This window comes from Homo sapiens, chromosome 1 (assembly GCF_000001405.40).
Source record: "Homo sapiens chromosome 1, GRCh38.p14 Primary Assembly".
NCBI classification, from domain to species: Eukaryota; Metazoa; Chordata; class Mammalia; order Primates; family Hominidae; genus Homo; species Homo sapiens.
In genome coordinates this window covers 181,042,460-181,063,141 of record NC_000001.11, presented here as the reverse complement: position 1 = coordinate 181,063,141, position 20,682 = coordinate 181,042,460, and the positions used below count along the sequence as shown (strand labels likewise).

The following is a 20,682-nucleotide window of genomic DNA, read 5'->3' as shown; positions in this document are numbered from 1 at the left end:
TCAATTTCAGTTGCAAAGACCTAAATTGGATTAGAACAGCTTGCCTGTCTTCTTCAGGGATCCTCAGGGACCAATGACCATTCAGTCTTTTAACAGTAAGGTGAAGGGCTGCCCATGTGCTCGGCCTTGGTGGGTTACATCTGGTTTGGCAACTTCCTGTTGTGTGTAACACAGGGACTGTGCATTCGTAGCTGTTTCGTGAGTAATATGCAGAGTGCATGTGTTGGGTATTTTAAAGTACGTGAGAGGGTTGTGTTTCAGCAGCTGATGGGATGCCAAATGTTTGACTTTTTATTATTCCAGCCCTTCAGATTTCCCCAGAATTGTCACCTTCTAGAGCGTGTGTCTTGCCAGTGTGTTCCAGGAATTCTCTATTTATGCCACTGTGATGTTGCTCAGAAAACAACAGAGCTTTCGGTTAGTTCAAGTAAACTTAGAATCTGCGCTGATGCCTCAGAAAGGAAGAAAGGCCAGGACGGCCTCGGCTTGGGTGGCACTCTTATTTCTCCCTTGGTTTCACTTCCTTATTTTCGTGGCTTCCCATTTCATCCTGTAGCCTCCTCTCAGAAGCTGTTTCCCCCCTTCCTACTCCCTTCCCACCCCCGGGTTGTTTCCCCGGTTGTTCCCACACTCTAGCCCATTTGTGTCCTCAGAGGTCTGGCCGCTGCCACTGCACCTGCCTCAGACCCAGTGTCACCTCGCCAGGGCTTCAGCCAGCCTGACCTTCCAGCTGCCACCCAGCAGCTCAGCTTAGGGACTCAGAACCTTCTGGCCCAGACCTTCATACCCAACTCCCGCCCAGGGGCAAATGCAGAAGCCTCTGCTGGTGCAGCCAACACGGAGTGGGGGCAAGGCGGAGAGGAAAAGCAACAGCTCAGGGTGTGGTAAGAGTGCTCAGGGTGCTTCCCAGCTCAGGGCATTGGTAAGAGTGGGTGGAATTTGCATGTTAAGAACTTTCATTAACCAAATACCCAAATGGTGACAGAAAAGCAAATTCAGACTAGTTACATTTCTGGAAGGTTTCAGATATTTGGGCCCCCAAGATGGCTGAGAACTCATTTCTCAGCACCTCTTCTCATAGCCTTCGAGAAAAACAGTACCTCCCATAAGAACCTCCGAATTCTATCTTTGTCTTTAATATGTATGTGTTGGGTGGGGTGGGGGTATTGATGGAATGTTTCAGATCACTAATCTCACAGACAATGCAATGACAAGATAAAGTTTATTAGATGGAGAATGTTAATACAGCTGAAACCTTTGAAGAATTCAGACCAGTCCTCAAACCATTCATCCTGAGTACCTGGAATGTTATATGATCTTGAGTGGGATATTTCCCCTCTATGACTTCAGCTGTAAGATGACACTGTTCTTTTGTACCAGTACATGAAGACTAGCTAATTAAAATACTATACTAGTTCATTCAAAAAGTATTTACTGAGTTGCTACTACGTACAAGGCATCATGCAAACAGACTGTGCAGTATTACATAAAATTTTTAAAATAGATTTCCATAAATAAACACCATGATAGGATTATGTAACATCTTCCAGGGAATTTTAACCGTTTGGATGTACTACACAGTGGTTCTGGTTCTACCAGTCTAAATGAATTGACTTGTTTTTTTTTCCACCATCACTCCTCCCTTTCAATTCAATTCATTCATTCTGGTGTGCAGCCCATTTCTGTCTATTTTCTAATGATATGACCAGAGCCACCATGTAGGCTTGTGCCCTGCACAAGGATAGATACCCCACTGGGGAACAAACGGGACCAAAATCTACTCTGTGTTCTGCTGGCCAAGCCGGGTGACCTGGCCTGGGCTGGCGTCCTCCCAGAAGAAGGGTTCATTTTTCCAGTTTGCACACATGTGCTATTTGTGGGTTAGCTGAGGCCCTGCTTATGTCTTCAGTTGGTTCACAAACCAGAAACAGAACAAATGGCCATCATTTGATTACAAATGTAATCAAACTAGATTTACAACCAAGGCTTGCTGAGTGGCATTATGGGTTTTATCCTGTTGCATGGCAAGCCGCTCATGCACGGGCTGTGCTCAGTGTCCTTTTTCCTCAGCCATGCCAGCCATGGGGAAGCAGGAGGGGAGCTTGTTGGAGAAGGTGGCCTCAATGAGAGCCTTGGTGCATTCCCCTGAAGCCACAGTTTGGGGCTTCTCCCTCAGCAGGGGTCTCCACAGTCTGAGTGTTTTCAGAAATCTTATATCCAGGGGACCCCAAATCTTATGTCCAGGCCCCAGGGTCTGAACTCATATTTAAGTACTGAAAGGCATCAGCATCTCCCCTCTGGTTGAACTTGACCTTCTTACTGAGAACCAGCCAGGCAGGCATCAGAAGCCTCAGGCTCCAGAGGAGAAGCTGGTGGGCAAATAGGTCAGGAGCAACTGCTTTCACCATCAGGGATGAAAGTTGAAGACCAAGAACACTTCCTTGTCCTGTGGTGCAGGGGTTGGGATGGAGGGGTGAGTCTTATAAATGGAAGAGAACTAAGTGTTGTGATTTAAAGGAAGAACATTTGCCTCCTGCCCCCAAATGCTCCCAAACTCTCCAAAATTCCACAGATTCCTTTGGCTTAACTCCTTTCACAGAGGTAAGCTAAGGTAGTCAGTCTCACTGTAGTTGCGGTGAATTCATTTAATGATCTTGGTTTCCTAACTGCTAGATAATCCAGTGGAGCCAAAAAATTTTGGTGGATTGAGGGAACCTACAGAGGTTGGGTAGAGATGTGTTAGGAGTTGAATTGTTTCCTCCAAAAAATTCATGTTGAAGTTATAACCCCCAGTACCTCAGAATGTGGCCTTCTTTGGAAATAGGGTTGTTGCAGATGTAATTTGGGAAGGTGAGGTCATCCTGCAGTAGTAGAGTGGGTCCCTAATCCAGTATGACTGATGGCCTCATGAAAAAAGGAAATTTGGACACAAAGCCATGCATGCAGGGAGAACACCAAATGAAGACTAGAGTTACGCAGCCAGAAGGCAAGGAACAACCAGAAGATAGGAGGGAAGCCTGGAACAGATCCTTTCCCAGTCCCTTTAGAGGCAGCATGTTTCTGCCAACACTTCATTTTGAACTTCTGGCCTCCAGAACTGTGAAACAATAAATTTCTGTTGTTCCAAGCCACCCAGTTTTTGTGGTACTTTTAAACGACTACCCTTGGAAACCAGTACAAGGTGGAACGGGGAGACGATGGAGAACATGACATTGTGACATGTTGCATCTTTCCCAAAATGGCCACAATGATATCTCCCAACTACATGCTCTTCTTACAATGTAACTCTGACAATCTTCCTATTGAGTGTTGGGTTCTATACACCCTCTTTTTGAACCTGAGCAGGATTTTATGACTTCTTCACCAATGAGAGTATCACAAGAATGACATTTTGTGACTTCCAAGATTAGATTATATAAATGCTATGCACTTTGACTGTGATCTCTTGGGATACTCACTCTGAGGGAAGCTAGCTGCCATGTAAGCAGTGACTGCCCTGAGGCCACCATGTTGTGAGGAAGCCCAACCCACACAGAGAGATTACATGGAGAGTTCCTGAGACTACATGGAGGAGATGTAGCTGATGCCTGGCCACCACCCCTGGCTGCCCCATTTCTGTTCCAGCCACCACTTGCCTCCAACTCCATGAGAAGCCAGAACTGCTTACCCAAGCCATATCCAAATTCCTGACCCATAGAAACTATGAAAGAAAATAAAATGGGTATTGTTTTAAACCAATAGGTTTTGGGTTTTGTTACACAGTCTGTGGGGTTTGGGGCAACCAGAAGCTAGAAGGACAATGGAGAAAGGGAGGCCAGAGTGAAAAGGAGATGCAGAGATGTTACAGAGACATACAATGCTCAAAGATGGCAATTTCCAAAGAAAGAGAGGTGAAGGCAGCTCAGGCAGTGGAATCATCAACCTCTAAAAAGCACAATGTACTGAATGTCCTGAAGCTATTGGGGAAAAAAAAAAGATGAAAAGGGCAATGCAGTTAAGTGGGAAACACCTGGGCTGGGAGATGCCTGTGCTTCTTCCTAGCTCTGCTGCCCACAGCACATGGCTATGGGCAAAGCCCCCTGTCCTCCTTGGAGAACATTCTGTGAACTAATACACTGTGTGTGAGAAAATAGCAAACTCCAGAGAGCAGGTGCTAACAAGCAAGAATGTGTCCCCTTGCACCAATTCTGGGGTCATCAAGCACTCTACAGATTGTGATTTAGTTGTTCTTATGTAGATTTTCCTGCTGGAAGGTGTACTGACCAGCTGAGACAGATATCTGACCCACTTAGCAATTGTGTTTCTCACAGTAAATTAATACATTGGCACTCCACTTTATATATCCATCTGATCACTTTGTGGGGACACTAGACCTGCATATGTGAGGACAAAGACCCCAGACAGTGGTTTTCAAAATAAGGTGTGACTGCTCTGTGTGACTCTGGCAGAAAATGATCAGCTGGCCTCCCTAGTGGACAATCTGTTCCTCATAGCTACAAGTGCAAAAACATCTTCTCTCAGGCCAAAAAAAGAAGAGGAGAAACCAAGTCATTCCTCAGAAATAAGGAAAGGATCACAACTTGGAAATCATGGGAGTAAGAGGAGAGAGGAAAGGAGGACTGGCCCCTGATGGGAGAGCTCAGAAACTCTCGATGGAGTCTTGTTGGATTTTTCACCCTGCTCTTTAAACTGCTTTCTCTCCCTTAAATGTACCACATCAAAAACATCTGCCATTTAAATTTACCACATCTTGGTCTATATGCACATCAAAAACAAACAAACAAAAAAAACAAAAACAGGTAATAAATACAGTGGAGTTAAAAAAAAAAAAAAGAACAGAGTTGAACAGGTTTCTCATCTAGTGTTCTTGATCCAAAATATTCAGTAAAGAAAATTCAAAGCCAAAACATAGCTGTGGCAATAGCACAGTTATTTGTTTTTAATGTTTAGATCATGGTGTCAAATATTTCATAGGTTATGATTACTGAGCATCTGTACTCAACAACCATGAAGTAATGAAGCAATAACAAGGCTAAAACAATTAAGAAGTAATATAATCTTCAACCATCTATAGTAAAATGAAGGTTGCAGAATTTTAGGTATTACTTACTTATTTTATTTTTATTTTTTTGAGATGGAGTTTCACTCTTGTTGCCCAGGCTAGAGTGCGATGGCGCGATCTCGGCTCACCACAACCTCTGCCTCCCGGGTTCAAGCGGTTCTTCTGCCTCAGACTCCCGAGTAGCTGGGATTATAGGCATGCGCCACCATCCCCGGCTAATTTTGTATGTTTGGTAGAGACAGGGTTTCTCCATGTTGGTCAGGCTGGTCTCGAACTCCCGACCTCAGGTGATCTGCCCACCTCGGCCTCCCAAAATGCTGGGATTACAGGCATGAGCCACCGTGCCCGGCAGTATTTTTTTTTTAATCATCTCTTTATATTATGATTCTTTTAGTATTATAAAATCCCCCAGGAAGAAACATAAATGCTACAAGTGCATAACAGAATGTTTTGTCATCACATCCTTGTCCTTGCCTCCTCTTCATCCATTTGGACATATTATGTGTTAGGTGTAGGGCAAGGCCTTGGAAACACAGAGGCTTTTTATCTGTGTCTTTGATGAGAGTATCCTGCAGTTGCAGAATCAAAAGGCATTTACATAGATACATTATCACCTGTGTCTATGTAAATATGTACCTTTTCACTTTAAATGCCCACCCAAAAATATATTACATCCTAACTATTCTGATTGTAAGAAGAAACCATTCCAGAAATAAACTTGCCTACATTCTCTTCACAGTGCAACACTGCTTAAAAGTGGCACGGAAATTGCCCATGGCAACCCTAAAAACAAAATAAACACAACTGTGCTTCTATGCAACTCAACAGGCACCGGAAAAGAGAGATGTACAGTGGTAGCTTCATATATGGAATTACATGGGACAGTGGAGCAAGGAGGAAGCCTGGCAGGTGAGCTCTTAGAGGCCTGGCACACTGAGGGTATCTTTCTTTTTTTTTTTGGAGACAGAGTCTTGCTCCGTTGCCCAGGCTGGAGTGCAGTGGTGTGATCTCGGCTCACTGCCACCTCTGCCTTATAGATTCAAGTGATTCTCCTGCCTTAGCCTCCCAAGTAGCTGGGACTATAGGCACATGCCACCATGCCCAGCTAATTATTTGTATTTTAGTAGAGACAGGGTTTCACCGTGTTGCCCAGGCTGGTCTTGAACTCCTGAGCTCAGGGAATCCGCCTGCCTCAGCCTCCCAAAGTGCTAGGATTACAGGCGTGAGCCACTGTGCCCGGGCTGAAGGTACCTTTATCTGAGGCTGTAATGATTAAAGCCAAAGGTCAAATGTCACAGTCAAGGTCAAGGGAGAGCAGAGGTCAAACCTGAGGTGCAGGACAAAAGCCACTTGTCAAAGTTCAGGTCACTGAAGTAAGCATTAGGGCTCAGGTGCAGAGTCAAACGGGGTCAGAGAAGTAGGACCGAGGAATGTGTGACTGGCAGCCCCAGGGCAAGTAGCTCCACATGGCAGGGCAGTAGGTGAGGCCTCAGGGGTTGGGGATAGTAAGGAACATTAAGGGGATGTTCATTCTCACCATGGGCTTTTATTGATTCCCAGTGCATATGTATGAAGACAACCTATGTAGGAAGGCAAGTCATGCCCAGCTACCATGAGCCAGCACAGGAAAGGCAGAAATGAGAATTGAGCCCTCTCCTGACACCAAATATACTGTTATTATTATTATTATTATTATTATTATTATTATTATTATTTTGAGATAGAGTCTCACTCTGTCGCCAGGCTGGAGTGCAGTGGCGTGATCTCGGCTCACTGCAATCTCTGCCTCCCGGGTTCAAGCAATTCCCCTGTCTCAGCCTCCCAAGTAGCTGGGACTACAGGCACGCAACACCATGCCCAGCTAATTTTTTGTATTTTAGTAGAGACAGGGTTTCACCATATTGGCCAGGATGGTCTTAATCTCCTGACCTCGTGATCCGCCCGCCTTGGCTGCTCAAAGTGATGGGATTACAGGCGTGAGCCACTGCACCTGGCCATACTGTTATTTTTACATTAAAATAGTGCAGCTGGGTCCAGGTCTCTGTAGTTCCACTGGAGGTGATGATATGTCTGATAATTATTTCTCTTAATTTCCCACAAAAGACAAAAAGGGTGAGACTACCTCCATAGATCCAACCGGGCAGATTACCAAGATTCCAAGCTCCCAGGCAGGGTTGCTGTGAACAGCAGGGGACTTTGGCTTTCTCTCAGGCCAGAAAATGTATAAAAATAATCAGTCCATTCCCAGGCCATTGTAGAAACCTGCCGGCTACTCTCATGGAGTGATCCAATCCTACCTGTAGGGTCACAGTCATGGTGCCCATGATATTCAAAGCGCTTGTACAATAAATGTTCCCATGAAAGATGAATGAGAAAGGCCATTTTATGAAGTACTGAGGTTCCCTTCACATGGTGTTCAAGTGGAGGCTGGAGGCTCAAGTCCAAGGCATTGCAGAAGACAGTTCCTGCTCTGGTTGAAAAGATTCCTTCCTGCTCTGAGAATCTCCAACTAGTTGCAAATCATCATTGACAAATAGAATGTAGGGAAGCGTTGTGTCATGAGACAAGCTGTATTTAAAGTCAACTCTGATAAAACAGTCCATCAAAAGAGACTGAAAGCTGACAGTCTTTTTGGAGCCAAAGAACAAAGAACATTTTGTGGCTCCTCTGTTGCTGCCATAAATGCTCAATCCCATTACTCTCATGTATGTTGTGGGTGTCGTCAGGACCTTCAAGCACTAGGCTTGACTCTATGGGGGACAGAGGATAACATGGCTCCTAGAGGAAGGAGAACTGGAAAAGAGGGATCTGCAATCATCGATCTGGTGTTGGAAGGTAGATGGCTCCATTTTGCTCTGAAAGGAAAGGGGTTTTTAGTCAGATTACAAGAATGTTTCCTCACAGCTCAAAAATAAAGTATGCAGTGTTCAGCAAAATCTGAGAAACAGGCATCGACAGTTTTAGCTTGCTTTGTCAAGATTCTCTTAGTACTTGACAAACTTTAGCTCAAATTTGTAAACTCTATAAGATAAAAAGCAGGAACTCACAGTCTGTATAATTATTGAGAGAGGGATGTCATTGTAAAAAAATTTTTTGTTTGTTTCACTATCATTTATTGGATTAGGATTAGTGCTGTACTTTATCTATAAAGAAAACATTAACAACCCATTAACTCTCTGAGCTGATTTTCTTTTCTTTTCTTTTCTTTTTTCTTTTTTGAGACAGAGTCTCGCTCTTGCTGCCCAGGCTGGAGTGCAATGGAGCGATCTTTGCTCACGGCAACCTCCGCCTCCCAGGTTCAAGCGATTCTCCTGTCTCAGCCTCCTGAGTAGCTGAGATTACAGGCATGTGCCACCACGCCCAGCTAATTTTTTTTTTTTTAATATTTTCAGTAGAGGCAGGGTTTCACCATGTTGGCCAGGCTGATCTCGAACTCCTGACCTCAAGTGATCCGCCTGCCTCGGCCTCTCAAAGTGCTGGGATTACAAGTTGTAAGCCACCACGCCCGGCCTCTGAGCTGATTTTCTAGTAAAAGGGTTGGTTTTACTTTGATCTAACAACATGCTTTTGTACAGTTATCACCTGAATTGGAGTTGAGGTCTATGTCTATGAAGGAAAACCAAACTTCTGGTCCACTTTGGGTTCAAAGCATGGTCTCATCGGTACTATCCTGTGATCAATTTGAGCAATTAGTGAAGCCAGAGCCAGGAGATAACCTTACCAGGCTCTATTGTAAGCTCTATGAAAACAGGGATCGTATCTGTCTTGTTCATTGTTATATCCCAGCAACCAGTACAGTGCCTGGAGCACAGTAGGTCATTAATGTATACTTACTGAATGAATTTATGTTATTCCACATTATCAAGAGCCTATATATCTCCTACTTCTCCTCCCCTTTTCCTTACTCTAAGTCCCATTCCCTGAAGGTATCTACTCTTACATATTTAATGTTTTGAATAATGAATTTACAAGGAAAAGGACTTTCATATGCTTGGGATGAAAGAATGGTGGTCAAAATGGGAAAACTGACTGAAGTCTTGAAACAAAGGACACTGCCCCAGAAGTCAATAGTAATTAATAATAAAAAGATGGTTTGGAAAAAGACAAATCAAGATCCCCATATCTTCTCTGACCCAACTTCTAGGGGGACAGTTCCCCTGGACAGATGTACTAGTTTGTTGATGTCAGGCATCACCTATGAAAAGAGACCACTCTCCCTGTAAGCTTTATCCATGCTTTGTGTCCCCTACATGGTGGGAGGGTTGTCCCAGGTCCTTCTGTGATCCCAGCCTGAGAGCCAAGCCATTTCTGAATGGAGGAGGGAGCAGCAGGTGCAGAAAATAAAACTGGAGAGATGCAGGAGAGTCTGCAGCCCCCTGGATCCCTTCCATGTGCCTCTCACCTCGGGGCCTTCTTCTCCAGACTAGAACACCAACTCCAGCCAGCACAATGACAAGGACAATGGACCCAGAGACAGCTTTCATCACAAGAGGGATAGTTTCTGATTCTGAAAGCAAGCAAATGAGAAAAAATCCACAAGTCCCCTTTCCCTTCTGTGTTAACTTTCTGGGACTTTTGTCCCTGTGATCATCAGGAAACCCAACACCATTTTCCTTACTGTTGCTTCTCACTCATCAATCTGACCACTAATGGAATATCTGCTTGTGTTTTCTTGTGTTTAATTTTTTTTTTTTTTTTGAGACAGCGTCTCACTCTGTCGTCCAGGTGGAAGTGCAGTGGTGCCATTATAGCTCACTGCAGCCTCAACCTCCTGGGCTCAAGCGATCCTCCCACCTTAGCCTCCTCAGTAGCTGGGACTACAGGCGCATGCCATCATGCCCAGCTAATTGTTGTGTTTTTTGTAGAGATGAGATCTCAGTATGTTGCCCAGGCTGGTCTTGAACTCCTGGGCTCAAGCAGTTCACTCGCGTCAGCCTCCCAAAGTACTGGCATTACAGGAGTGAGCCACTGCGCCTGGGTTGTGTTTTTTTGTTTTTTGTTTTTTTGTTTTTTTGAGAGGGAGTCTTGCTCCCTTCGCACAGGCTGGAGTGTAGTGGTGCGATCTCGGCTCACTGCAACCTCCACCTCCCAGGTTCAAGCGATTCTCCTGCCTCAGCCTCCAGGAGCTGGGATTACAGGCATGCGCCACCATGCCTGGCTAATTTTTGTATTTTTAGTAGAGATGGGGTTTCACCATGTTGGCCAGGCTGGTCTCGAACTCCTGACCTCAAGTGATCCACCTGCCTCAGCCTCCCAAAGTGCTGGGATTACAGGCATGAGCCACTGCACCCATTCGTGTTTAATTTTTAAATTTTTAATTTGTAATGTAGTAAATAGCAATAGATATAACCCACATCAGCAAAAGCTCTCTGGGGTCCTCAATAATTTTTTAATAGTATGAAGGCGTCCTGGTTCCAAAAAGTGTGAGAACCACTTATTTAAAAGACCCATTCTAAGGCACACTGAGTGAGGCAGTGATCTATCCTCCCCTCCCTGGCAGCGAGCATGGTTTCCTGCTCACCCCTTTCTCCAGGCTCTCTCCCTAGACAGCCACGATCCCCGTCCTTACCCTGGGGGACCTGAAGAACCATGTGGACACCGCAGTGCTCCACATGACAGGAGTAAAGGTTGCTGCTCTGAGGATCAAGCTCAATTGATGCCCACGCCTGATAGGTTCCATCCCCACTGGGAAGAATGTCTCCATAATCAATTTCTTGGACAATTTCTTCCCCGTTTTTCATCCATGTCATGTAAATTTCTGGGGGGTAAAAGCCATGAGCTTTGCAGAAGAGAGCTGTAACCCCTGGAAAAGTTTCTTTGCGATTTACTCTGACCAGTGGGGGCTCTAGGAAGAAGAAGCTAAAGTTAAATCAAAGTGCCTTATGTACTGAGCATATAATATTAGAACTTGGCAACTGGCTTTCCTAATTTTTCTTTATTGCAGGAAACTTCTAAAGCTAAGAATGACCCAGAACTCAGGTTCATCAACAACAAACGTATTTACGTATACCTTCCATGATGGCAAGGTGCTAGGTAGTGAAGAATGTGGAGTTGGCCCATGCTCCATCCTCTAAGGGGGGAAAGTCATACAGCTTTGACTGTTTGGAAAGTGTGCTGGGGTTGTTTACTAGTAACCTTTGAAATACCTTTATGTGTCAAGGAAAACTGACCCATAAAATGTGTAAGTGACTGTTCCCAATAAGTAAGTCAGCAATAGATTGGAGATTAGAACTCCTTGTTCTCATTTCTGTGTTTAGTGCACGTAAATAACACAGCCATCCCCACTCAGTTTTGGCTCCGAATTGCCTTGTGTACTTGCGCTGGCATTTTGATGACTGCCATCAGGTACAAACATATGTAGTAGATCATGCCATGGTTGTGCCTTCGAAGAAACTGATATCATAGAAGGGCTCCAGCAGTGACACCAAAGAAGTACCCACGTGTGACCTTGCTTCCTCATGACTACTCTTAATTTTCCATACAGTCCTGTCCTTAATGTTTCTTGCTGAAATTGGGTCAAACAGCCATACCGAGACCAAAGGCACTATCTGGGGGGGACTGCTTCCTGCTCATCTCTGACTTGCCTCCTGACCCCCACCTTATCATCGGCCAACCCAATACGGAGAAGAGCCTTCACTCCAACAATGCTTTCCTTGTCTCTTTACCGAGGCATGATATTTGGTAGTAGAAAAAGGCTTTCCAACATTAAAAGTAAAATAAATGCTACTAGGAGGGACTGTGCTTTTTGATAGGGCCTGTAAGAAATTAATCCAAGATCCTTTTCTAGGAATGTGTTTTTTCTTTTCTTTTTTTTTTTTGTTTGTTTTTTTAGGAGTGTGTTTTGACCAAAAGGTTGAAAATCCATTAGGACACTGAATGTAGACAGAGGCCTGGAGAGGGGAGCTTCCCATACTCTTCCCACACACATTGTATCTAGGAGTTTCCTGTAGCATCATACAGGTGTGATTAATTTTGAATAACAAGACCATACATGAAAAGTTCTATATGAACTAAAAGTTGACCAACTGAATCATATCTTTAAGGTATAAGAGGAGCTCTTTGCTGAAAGGAATCTTATCATTAATACTTTTTTTTTTTTTTAAATAGGGTCTTGCTCTGTGACCCAGGCTGATCATGATCATGGCTCACTGCAGCCTTGACCTTCCAGGCTCAAGAGATCCTCCCACCTCAGCCTCCTGAGTATCTGGGACTACAGTCATGTGCCACCATGCTCAGCTAATTTTTTTTTTAATAGAGACAGGGTCTCACAATGTTACCCAGGCCAGTCTTAAACTCCTGGCCTTAAGCAATCCTCCTGCCTCAGCCTCCCAAAGTGCTAGGATTACAGGCATGAGCCATCATGCCCAACCTCATTAATCCTTTAGTAAAGCAGAGACCTTCTGTTTGTCTTGGTAAATCCAGATTTTTACTCCTACTGGTGGTGTGTGAGCCCTTTGTTAACTAAACAGTTTGTAAGAATTGCTCTATCTCCCAAAGAATTTCCCAGCTTATCATTGACGGAATGGAAGAATTTGCCTCAATAGATCCCTAAAAACAAGGTGCCCTTGGAGGTACTCCACTCTGTCAAGACAAGGGGAACTGTCAAATCTTGTCAAGATGCTGCTCAAAAGTAACCAGGGAAAGTTTTCGTGGGGGCTCTAGCCATGAGATCACAATAGGCCAACTAAAGAGATGGCTTTCAGGATACAGTGGATATAACCTAGATTAAAAGAGTTACGTATAAAAACAGTTGTTCAGGCAATGTGGGAATGAGGCCTTCTCTTTCTCTTTACCTGTTCTTTGTAGGGTGTCTTTCCCATACTCCAGGAATCTCTTTAGCCAGGCAATACATTCTTCTTCCAGCCAATTCTTTTGATACAGCAACTCATGCTGATTGGCCTCCCATGCCTGCTTGATGGTGTGAGCCACATTATCTACAGCCAGCCAGGAGAGGGTGTCTTTATTGAAGATCAGGAAATCCTGCCCGTCATATGCATACTGCAGAAATCCTGTGGTGCTTCCATCCTCCAGCAGCTCACAGCCAATCATTCTCTGGTAAGTGTGAGACCCTGGAACACACACAGAAGCCCAGAGGGGTCCACACAGAGACAGAGGTGGGCTCTCAAGTGCTGGGAGCAGGGGCATGGCTGGAAGCATCCTTTGGTCTACATTATGTCACCCCCCAGGCCTGCCATGGCATCGCTGAGTCCCCAGGAGGTCCCCCTTATGGAAGCCCACCTGTCAGCAGGTATCTGTGAAGTACCTACTGCCTGTCAAAGGAGTGTGCTAATTCCCGCCTTGGGGAGTTATCCTGTAATGGGAATGACTGATAAACTTTGTGGCTATTCTGACTGCAGTGGAGGAGGGAGAGAGATGCAGGAGCCAGAAATACCCCTGGGAAAGTTACTGTCGATACTCATAAGCAAGTCACTAGGCCTGACTACCAGGAAGTGAGACGCAGAATGGGCAAATTTAGAATGGAAAAGGAGATGCATATCAGAAGCCTGAGTGGAAATGGGATGCAGATACGGATACAGAGATGGGGAAGAGTGGGTGGGGCAAATGACAGAGTGCTCCTGGGGGAGAGAGGGACAGTCCAGAAGATGCACAGGCAGATGGGAGGCCCTGAACTCCACCAACCTGATTCCTCAGGCTTTGCCAAAGCTACAGCAGGTGCAATTCAGCATCCGCTTATTGGAGGCCAGCCCAGGGGTCTCTGCGGGTTGGGGTGGGATGGGGGAAGCGTCTGTCTCTGCCGCATGCACACCTGAGTGATTGTAGTGCCTCTGTAGGCGCTTCAGTTCCACCTTGAACATCTGCTGCCAGCCCCTCAGCAGCTGAGTGTACCTCTCCCAGTGATCAGGCGCGAGGTTCTCTGCCATCCATGGGGCCCGTGGCTCCTTCTGCCGAGTGACACTGTCATATGTGGTGATAGGGTGCGAGTCCACGTACCCAACCGAAATAAATTCAGGGACCCCATGGATGGGATCCGAAACGCCCAGGCGAAAATATCTCAGAGAGTGCGTCCCTGGAAAGGAGGCAAAGAAGGAAGACATGTAGGGTCCCAGATGATCCAGATCCTTCAACTGCATTCATTTAGCCCCACACGAGTGCTCCCTACTCAGCTGTACCCAGGCCTCCACGCCCCAGCTGCCATTTCCTCTTACAGAACCACAGAACCCAGGAACCGGGGCCTGGACAGGACGTAAGAGCTCCAGACCAGTGACTTGGAGCCTTTCTCGTTCAGGTTTGCAAATGCAGGATGGAATTTTATAGGTAATCTCAACTTGTAGACAAAATATAGAGTGCTGCTATGGTTGTAGGGGGAAGGGAGAAGACCACTCATTGGGGATACAGGGGGAGCTGTCCCTGCGGGAGCCCTCGGGAACTCTGAAGGCTTGAAAACCCTGATGACGCAGCCTTCTTCTTTTACCAAAGAAGCCTCTGGTGAATAAATGAGGACCCCCACTCCACCTCTGTGTGTGCACGTGTGGGCATATACACACAGGCACACAAACACATGCACTGAGCATTTTTTTTTTTTTGAGATGGAGTCTTGCTCTGTTGCCCAGGCTGGAGTGCAATGGCACGATCTCTGTTCACTGCAACCTCCGCCTCCTGGGTTCAAGTGATTGTCCTGCTCCAGCCTCCCAGGTAGCTGAGATTACAGGCACACACCACCACGCCTGGCTAATTTTTTGTAGTTTTAGTAGAGTCAGTGTTTCATCATGTTGGCCAGGCTGGTCTCAAACTCCTGACCTCATGATCTGCACACCTCGGCCTCCCAAAGTGCTGGGATTATAGGCATGAGCCACTGCGCCTGGCCGAAATTTATTTATTTATTTTATTTTATTTATTTTTTTGAGATGGAGTCTTGCTCTGTTGCCCAGGCTGGAGTGCAGTGGCACAAACTCGGCTCACTGCAACCTCCGCCTACCGGGTTCAAGCAATTCTCTGCCCCAGCCTCCAAAATAGCTGGGATAACAGGCACTGGTCACCACGCCTGGCTAATTTTTTTGTATTTTTAGTAGAGACAGGGTTTCACCATCTTGCCCAGGCTGGTCTTGTACTCCTGACCTCGTGATCCACCCACCTCGGCCTCCCAAAGTGCTGGGATTACAGGCGTGAGCCACCGCGCCTGGCCTATTTATTTTATTTATTTTTTATTTTTTATTTTTTAGAGACAGAGTCTCACTCTGTCGCCCAGGCTGGAGTGCAGTGGCATGATCTTGGCTTACTACAACCTCTGCCTTCTGGGTTCAAGTGATTCTCCTGCCTCAGCCTCCTGAGTAGCTGGGACTACAGGCGCGTGCCACCATGCCCAGCTAATTTTTGTATATTTTTAAAGTAGAGATGGGGTTTCACCATATTGACCAGGCTGGTCTCAAACTCCTGACCTCGTGATCCGCCTGCCTTGGCCTCCCAAAGTGCTGGGATTATGGGCGTGAACCACCGTGCCCAGCCTATTTATTTATTTTTTTGAGACAGAGTCTCACTCTGTTGCCCAGGCTGGAGTGCAGTGGCGTGACCTTGGCTCACTGCAACCTCTGCCTCCTGGGTTCAAGTGATTCTCCTGCCTCAGCCTACTGAGTAGCTGAGATTACAGGTATGTGCCAGCATGCCTGGCTAATTTTTGTATTTTTAGTAAAAACAGGGTTTTGCCATGTTAGTCAGGCTGGTCTCGAATTCCTGACCTCATGATCTGCCCACCTCGGCCTCCCAAATTGCTGGGATTACAGGTGTGAGCCACCATGGCCGGCCGAAATTTTTTTTTTTTTTAAAGCACAGTGCTTTTCCTATTATGTCAAACCACTGCTGTTAACCATTTTCTTATTCTTTTTCTACTTACTAGTTATAAGGATTGTAATAAGGGTTAAAAGTAAACCAAAATGAAACAAAACTGTTTGGCCCTCCCTGCTGTTCCCACATTGAACTTCTCTCCGCTTGTCCAAGAAGCTTAGGGCCTGACGGAGACAAAGTGGTTTCAAGGTGGCATTATGGGTGGTGGTGTGTCCGCAATTGGTGGGTTCTTGGTGTCACTGACTTCAAGAATGAAGCCGTGGACCCTCGCGGTGAGTGTTACAGCTCTTAAGGTGGCGCGTCTGGAGTTTTTTCCTTCTGATGTTCGGATGTGTTTGGAGTTTCTTCTTTCTGTTGGGTTGGTGCTCTCGCTGGCTCAGGAGTGAAGCTGCAGACCTTCGCAGTGAGTGTTACAGCTCTAAAGGCGGTGCGTCTGGAGTTGTTCGTTCCTCCTGGTGGGCTCGTGGTCTCGCTGGCTTCAGGAGTGAAGCTGCAGACCTTCGCCATGAGTGTCACAGCTCATAAAGGCAGTGTGGACCCAAAGAGTGAGCAGCAGCAGGATTTATTGCAAAGAGCGAAACAACAAAGCTTCCACAGTGTGGAAGCGGACCCGAGACGGTTGCCACTGCTGGCTCGGGCAGCCTGCTTTTATTCTCTTATCTGGCCCCACCCACATCCTGCTGATTGGTAGAGCCCAGTGGTCTGTTTTGACAGGGCACTGATTGGTGCGTTTACCATCCCTCAGCTAGACACAAAGGTTCTCCACGTCCCCACCAGATTAGCTAGATACAGTGTCCACACAAAGGTTCTCCAAGTCCCCACCAGAGTAGCTAGATGCAGAGTGTCGATTGGTGCAGTCACAAACCCTGAGCTAGACACAGGGTGCTGATTGGTGTTTACAAACCTTGAGCTAGATACAGAGTGCCGATTGGTGTATTTACAATCCCTTAGCTAGACATAAAGGTTCTCCACGTCCCCACCAGACTCAGGAGCCCAGCTGGCTTCACCCAGTGGATCCCCCACTGGGGCTGCAGGTGGAGCTGCCTGCCATTCCCGCGCCGTGCGCCCGCACTCCTCAGCCCTTGGGTGGTCATGGGACTGGCGCCGTGGAGCAGGGGTGGCGCTCATCGGGGAGGCTCGGGCCGCACAGAGGCCCATGGAGGGGGTGGGAGGCTCAGGCATGGCGGGCTGCAGGTCCCCAAGCCCTGCCCCGCAGGAAGGCAGCTAAGGCCCGGCGAGAAATCGAGCTGCAGCGCTGGTGGGCTGGCACTTCTGGGGGACCCAGTACACCCTCCGCAGCCGCTGGCCCGGGTGCTAAGCCCCTCATTGCCCGGGCCGGCAGGGCCGGCTGCCCCCAGTGCAGGGCCCGCCAAGCCCACGCCCACTTGGAACTCCAGCTGGCCCGCAAGCGCCGCCCGCAGCCCGGGTTCCCGCTCGCGCCTCTCCCTCCACACCTCCCTGCAAGCTGCGGGAGCGGGCTCCGGCTTTGGCCAGCCCAGAAAGGGGCTCCCACAGTGCAGCGGTGGGCTGAAGGGCTCCTCAAGTGCCGCCAAAGTGGGAGCCCAGGCAGCGGAGGCGCCAAGAGCGAGCTAGGGCTGTGAGGACTGCCAGCACGCTGTCACCTCTCAGTGTTATGGGATCCAAGCTGGTGTGGGCCCTTAGGAGAGACTTCCAGAGAAGGTGATGTCTTAGGGAGGTCTCAGGGACAGGTAGGAGGTGAGTAGGCAGAGGGGCTGGGAGGGGATGCAGGAGGGCGGGCAGGGGGAGCAGGGCAGAGACCACATGTGCAAGCAGGAGGTTCGAGAAGGCGGGGCGTGCATGGGAACCAAATGGCCTGGGACGTCTGGAGCACAGTGACAGGCGTCACGGGCAGAGGCGATGCCTGGGAGGTGGAGCCCAGGCTGAGAAGGCTACGTACCCCATGCCATCCCCAAAAGCTGGCAAATAGAAGGTATGCAGCCACAATGGCTTTCTTCCCCTACTCTGCCTGCCGGTGTCTGCAGATGCCCATGTCCAAGCCTTTTGTCCTGTTATCTCCTGCCATTCTGACCCATCTAAATCCTTCCCAGTCCTCAAAACCCACCTCCAAAAACATTTCATCCCTAAAACAGGATCATCCCTAAAATTTCATGGCTAAATTGAGATGACAGATGGAGGCTCACATACCAGAGATCCAGATATTTAAAAGGAATAAATCAATCTAACAAACTTGAAATATGTTCTATCCCCCCACCTTGAGAGATTGCCCTTTGTATGGCTTCGAAGACCAAGTTCAAATTAAAAAATCTCACACTGTGTGAAGTTCTGGGCCTGAATGGGGCGGCACAGAGAAAGCTGGTGTCTCCCTCCAGTCCCCGGCCCTCAGCCTGAGACTCACCTCTTTTTCTTCCTGTTTCTTGCTCCTTCCAGCACTGCCAAGGGCCTCCCACAATTAAACACCTCTACTTTTTTATTCAGGCTCAGCCACAAACTGCCTCTTGTCTGAGCTTGTCCTGGGCTTAAGTGATCCTCCCACCTCTTGGCCACCCCTCAGGCCTAGCAAGGCCCTCAAGGGCAGCCAGTCCACCTTTAGGAGGATGGGCCAAAGTGCGAGTTTGTTGTGTAAACCTCAGCAGCTCTGAGTCAGCTGAGTGGGGAACTCCAGGTTCCTGGGTGCCTGGAGTCTGGTCTAGAGTGGAGGGGCCCAGACACAGGGTTACCACCTCCCCTCAGCCTCACGCACTCCTCGCTCTGTGGGAAAGGATGTGGGTAGCAGAGGGCCAGAGTGGGGCTCTCTGAATGTGGGGCCATATCCAGGGGCTTCTCTTGCCTGTGTCTAAGAGCTGTACTACACAACACTTCCCCAGTCTTTCCAGATTGCCCACCCTGCTGCTGCCATCACCTTTAGGACCTCCCCTACATTCAGATCTTCTAACCTGGCCCTTGCCACTATAGAGAATCTTGCAAGGGTGAATACCACTTAATGATATTCATTCCTTCCTCCTCATTTATAAGCATATAGTTAAGAAAAAAGATCAGGCCGGGCGCAGTGGCTCACGCCTGTAATCCCAGCACTTTGGGAGGCCGACGCGGGCGGATCATGAGGTCAGGAGATCGAGACCAACCTGGCTAACATGGTGAAACCCCGTCTCTACTAAAAATACAAAAAATTAGCCAGGCGTTGTGGCAGGCACCTGTAGTCCCAGCTACTTGGGAGGCTGAGGCAGGAGAATGGTGTGAACCCGGGAGGCGGAGCTTGCAGTGAGCCAAGATCACGCCACTGCACTCCAGCCTGGGCGACAGAGTGAGACTCTGTCTCAAAAAAAAAAAAAAAAAAAAGATCAGACAAAAAAAAAAAATCAGCTCACAAAATAGTTGGATTAGCTTCTGTGCTACAAGTTTGTTTATATTTTTCTTTTCTCTAAAACTGCTTATGAAATAACTCATAATGTGCAGGTTATCTTTCAGAACTGACCACCCCAAGGCCAGGGTACCCTTACCTTGCATACTAGGAAAAACAAGAGGCCCTGAGAGGTATCTCCCAGAGCAACTGATTGTACTAGTTAGTGTATGTATGTGTGTGCATATGTGTGTGTGTGTATGACAGGGTTTTACTCTGTTGCCCAGCTGGAGTGCAGCGGCATGATCACAGCTCACTGTAGCCTTGAATTCCTGGGCTTAAGTGGTCCTCTCACCTCAGCCTCCTGAGTAGCTGGGATTATAAGCACGTCACCACTTCTTTTTAATAGAGACAGGGTCTGTGTTGCCCAGGCTGGTCTCAAATTCCTGGCCTTAAGTGATCCTCCCACTTTGGCCTCCCAAAGTGCTGGGATTAGAGATGTGAGCCACCACGCCCAGCAATTAAAATCATTGTTAGCACTTCTTTCTCCTTGCTCCTGGAGCTGGGGTGTAGCAGTTTGGCAGGGTTCAGAGTAGGTATCCCCGCCCCATGGGCTCCTCCCTCACAGGTGTTATCCTGCATGTCAGCTGCAATACTGAACAGGATGGAGGCTGGCCTCCCACAGGCTGGGGCAGCATAAGGTCCCAATGTCCCTCTGTATTGCTTTGACCTTTTACTTCCCCCTTCCCTTCCTGTGGTGGGTGAGGGCTTGGGTTGGGAGGGAAGACAGTGGAAGCCTCTGGGGTAGTCATGAGAGCCTCTTCATAAAAGTGTTGGTTCTTATGCAAACAAGAGCCAGAGATTGCATCAGAGCATGAGTTCTGTCGTAAAACCAATAGCTACCAGATTCTGCCTTCTGTTTCCCTCTGCTTACTACCTTCTACCTGCTTCTCAATCTTAAAGCACTTAAGAACAGGGACTTTGCTTTTTTCCTTTGTATTTCCTGCAAAGCTTAGCACAGGGAGCTTGGCACATGGTAGTAGCTTGGTAAATATTGGGTGAATTAAATTGTTGGTGAAACACTTTATTTCTGTGGTTTGGAATAATGAAATATGCTGAAATGAATATGAATCTATTTAACCTGGATCTTTTTTGAGACAGAGTCTCATTCTGTCGCCCAGGTTGGAGTGCAGTGGCGTGATCTCGGCTCACTGCGGCCTCTGCCTCCCTGCTTCAGGCAATTCTCCCTGCCCCAGCCTCCCAAGTAGCTGGGATTACAGGTGCCCACCATCACGCCTGGCTAATTTTTGTATTTTTTTTTAGTATAGACGGGTTTTTGCCACGTTGGCCAGGCTGGTCTTGAACTCCCGACCTCAGGTGATCTGCCTGCCTTGGTCTCCCAAAGTGCTGGGATTACAGGCGTGAGCCACCGCACCTGGCCTAAAAAATATTTTTGATTTGGCCGGGCGCGGTGGCTCACGCCTCTAATCCCAGCACTTTT

At 47.5% G+C, this 20,682-nt stretch overlaps 1 protein-coding gene across 11 annotated transcripts in view, besides 6 other annotated features; it reads right to left on the bottom strand.

Annotated features, from left to right (window-relative positions):
- Positions 295–344: an enhancer, noted in NCBI's record as "active region_2172". NCBI's record gives its function as "activates an Ori minimal core promoter by ATAC-STARR-seq in GM12878 lymphoblastoid cells {active_cell/tissue: GM12878}" and the evidence as "EXISTENCE:reporter gene assay evidence [ECO:0000049][PMID:35858748]".
- Positions 985–1,114: an enhancer, noted in NCBI's record as "active region_2171". NCBI's record gives its function as "activates an Ori minimal core promoter by ATAC-STARR-seq in GM12878 lymphoblastoid cells {active_cell/tissue: GM12878}" and the evidence as "EXISTENCE:reporter gene assay evidence [ECO:0000049][PMID:35858748]".
- Positions 1,204–20,682, bottom strand: part of MR1 (major histocompatibility complex, class I-related) — a 28,552-nt gene continuing 9,073 nt past the window's right edge. For 3 of the 11 annotated variants that reach the window (NM_001310213.2, NM_001195000.2, NM_001385164.1), the window contains 4 exons: positions 13,830–14,090; positions 12,856–13,131; positions 9,465–9,569; positions 1,204–7,917 (listed from right to left, as the gene is read on the bottom strand). In NM_001310213.2, the coding sequence (NP_001297142.1) occupies positions 7,877–7,917; positions 9,465–9,569; positions 12,856–13,131; positions 13,830–13,944 (537 nt within the window). In that variant the 5' untranslated portion in view covers positions 13,945–14,090 and the 3' untranslated portion in view covers positions 1,204–7,876. Of the gene's footprint in view, positions 7,918–9,464; positions 9,570–10,631; positions 10,908–12,465; positions 13,132–13,829; positions 14,091–20,682 lie in introns of those variants that run through there. The other 8 variants (NM_001531.3, NM_001385161.1, XM_047418899.1 and 5 more) reach the window with 6 other exon arrangements.
- Positions 16,479–16,981: an enhancer, noted in NCBI's record as "H3K27ac-H3K4me1 hESC enhancer chr1:181015297-181015799 (GRCh37/hg19 assembly coordinates)". NCBI's record gives its function as "activates a minimal SCP1, AML or CMV promoter by ChIP-STARR-seq in primed H9 embryonic stem cells {active_cell/tissue: H9 hESC(primed)}" and the evidence as "EXISTENCE:reporter gene assay evidence [ECO:0000049][PMID:30033119]".
- Positions 18,099–18,248: a silencer, noted in NCBI's record as "fragment chr1:181014030-181014179 (GRCh37/hg19 assembly coordinates)". NCBI's record gives its function as "represses an EF-1alpha promoter that drives an FKBP-Casp9 reporter gene in an ReSE screen in phorbol 12-myristate 13-acetate-treated (for megakaryocytic differentiation) K562 erythroleukemia cells {active_cell/tissue: K562(+PMA)}" and the evidence as "EXISTENCE:reporter gene assay evidence [ECO:0000049][PMID:32094911]".
- Positions 18,300–18,539: an enhancer, noted in NCBI's record as "active region_2170". NCBI's record gives its function as "activates an Ori minimal core promoter by ATAC-STARR-seq in GM12878 lymphoblastoid cells {active_cell/tissue: GM12878}" and the evidence as "EXISTENCE:reporter gene assay evidence [ECO:0000049][PMID:35858748]".
- Positions 18,660–18,799: an enhancer, noted in NCBI's record as "active region_2169". NCBI's record gives its function as "activates an Ori minimal core promoter by ATAC-STARR-seq in GM12878 lymphoblastoid cells {active_cell/tissue: GM12878}" and the evidence as "EXISTENCE:reporter gene assay evidence [ECO:0000049][PMID:35858748]".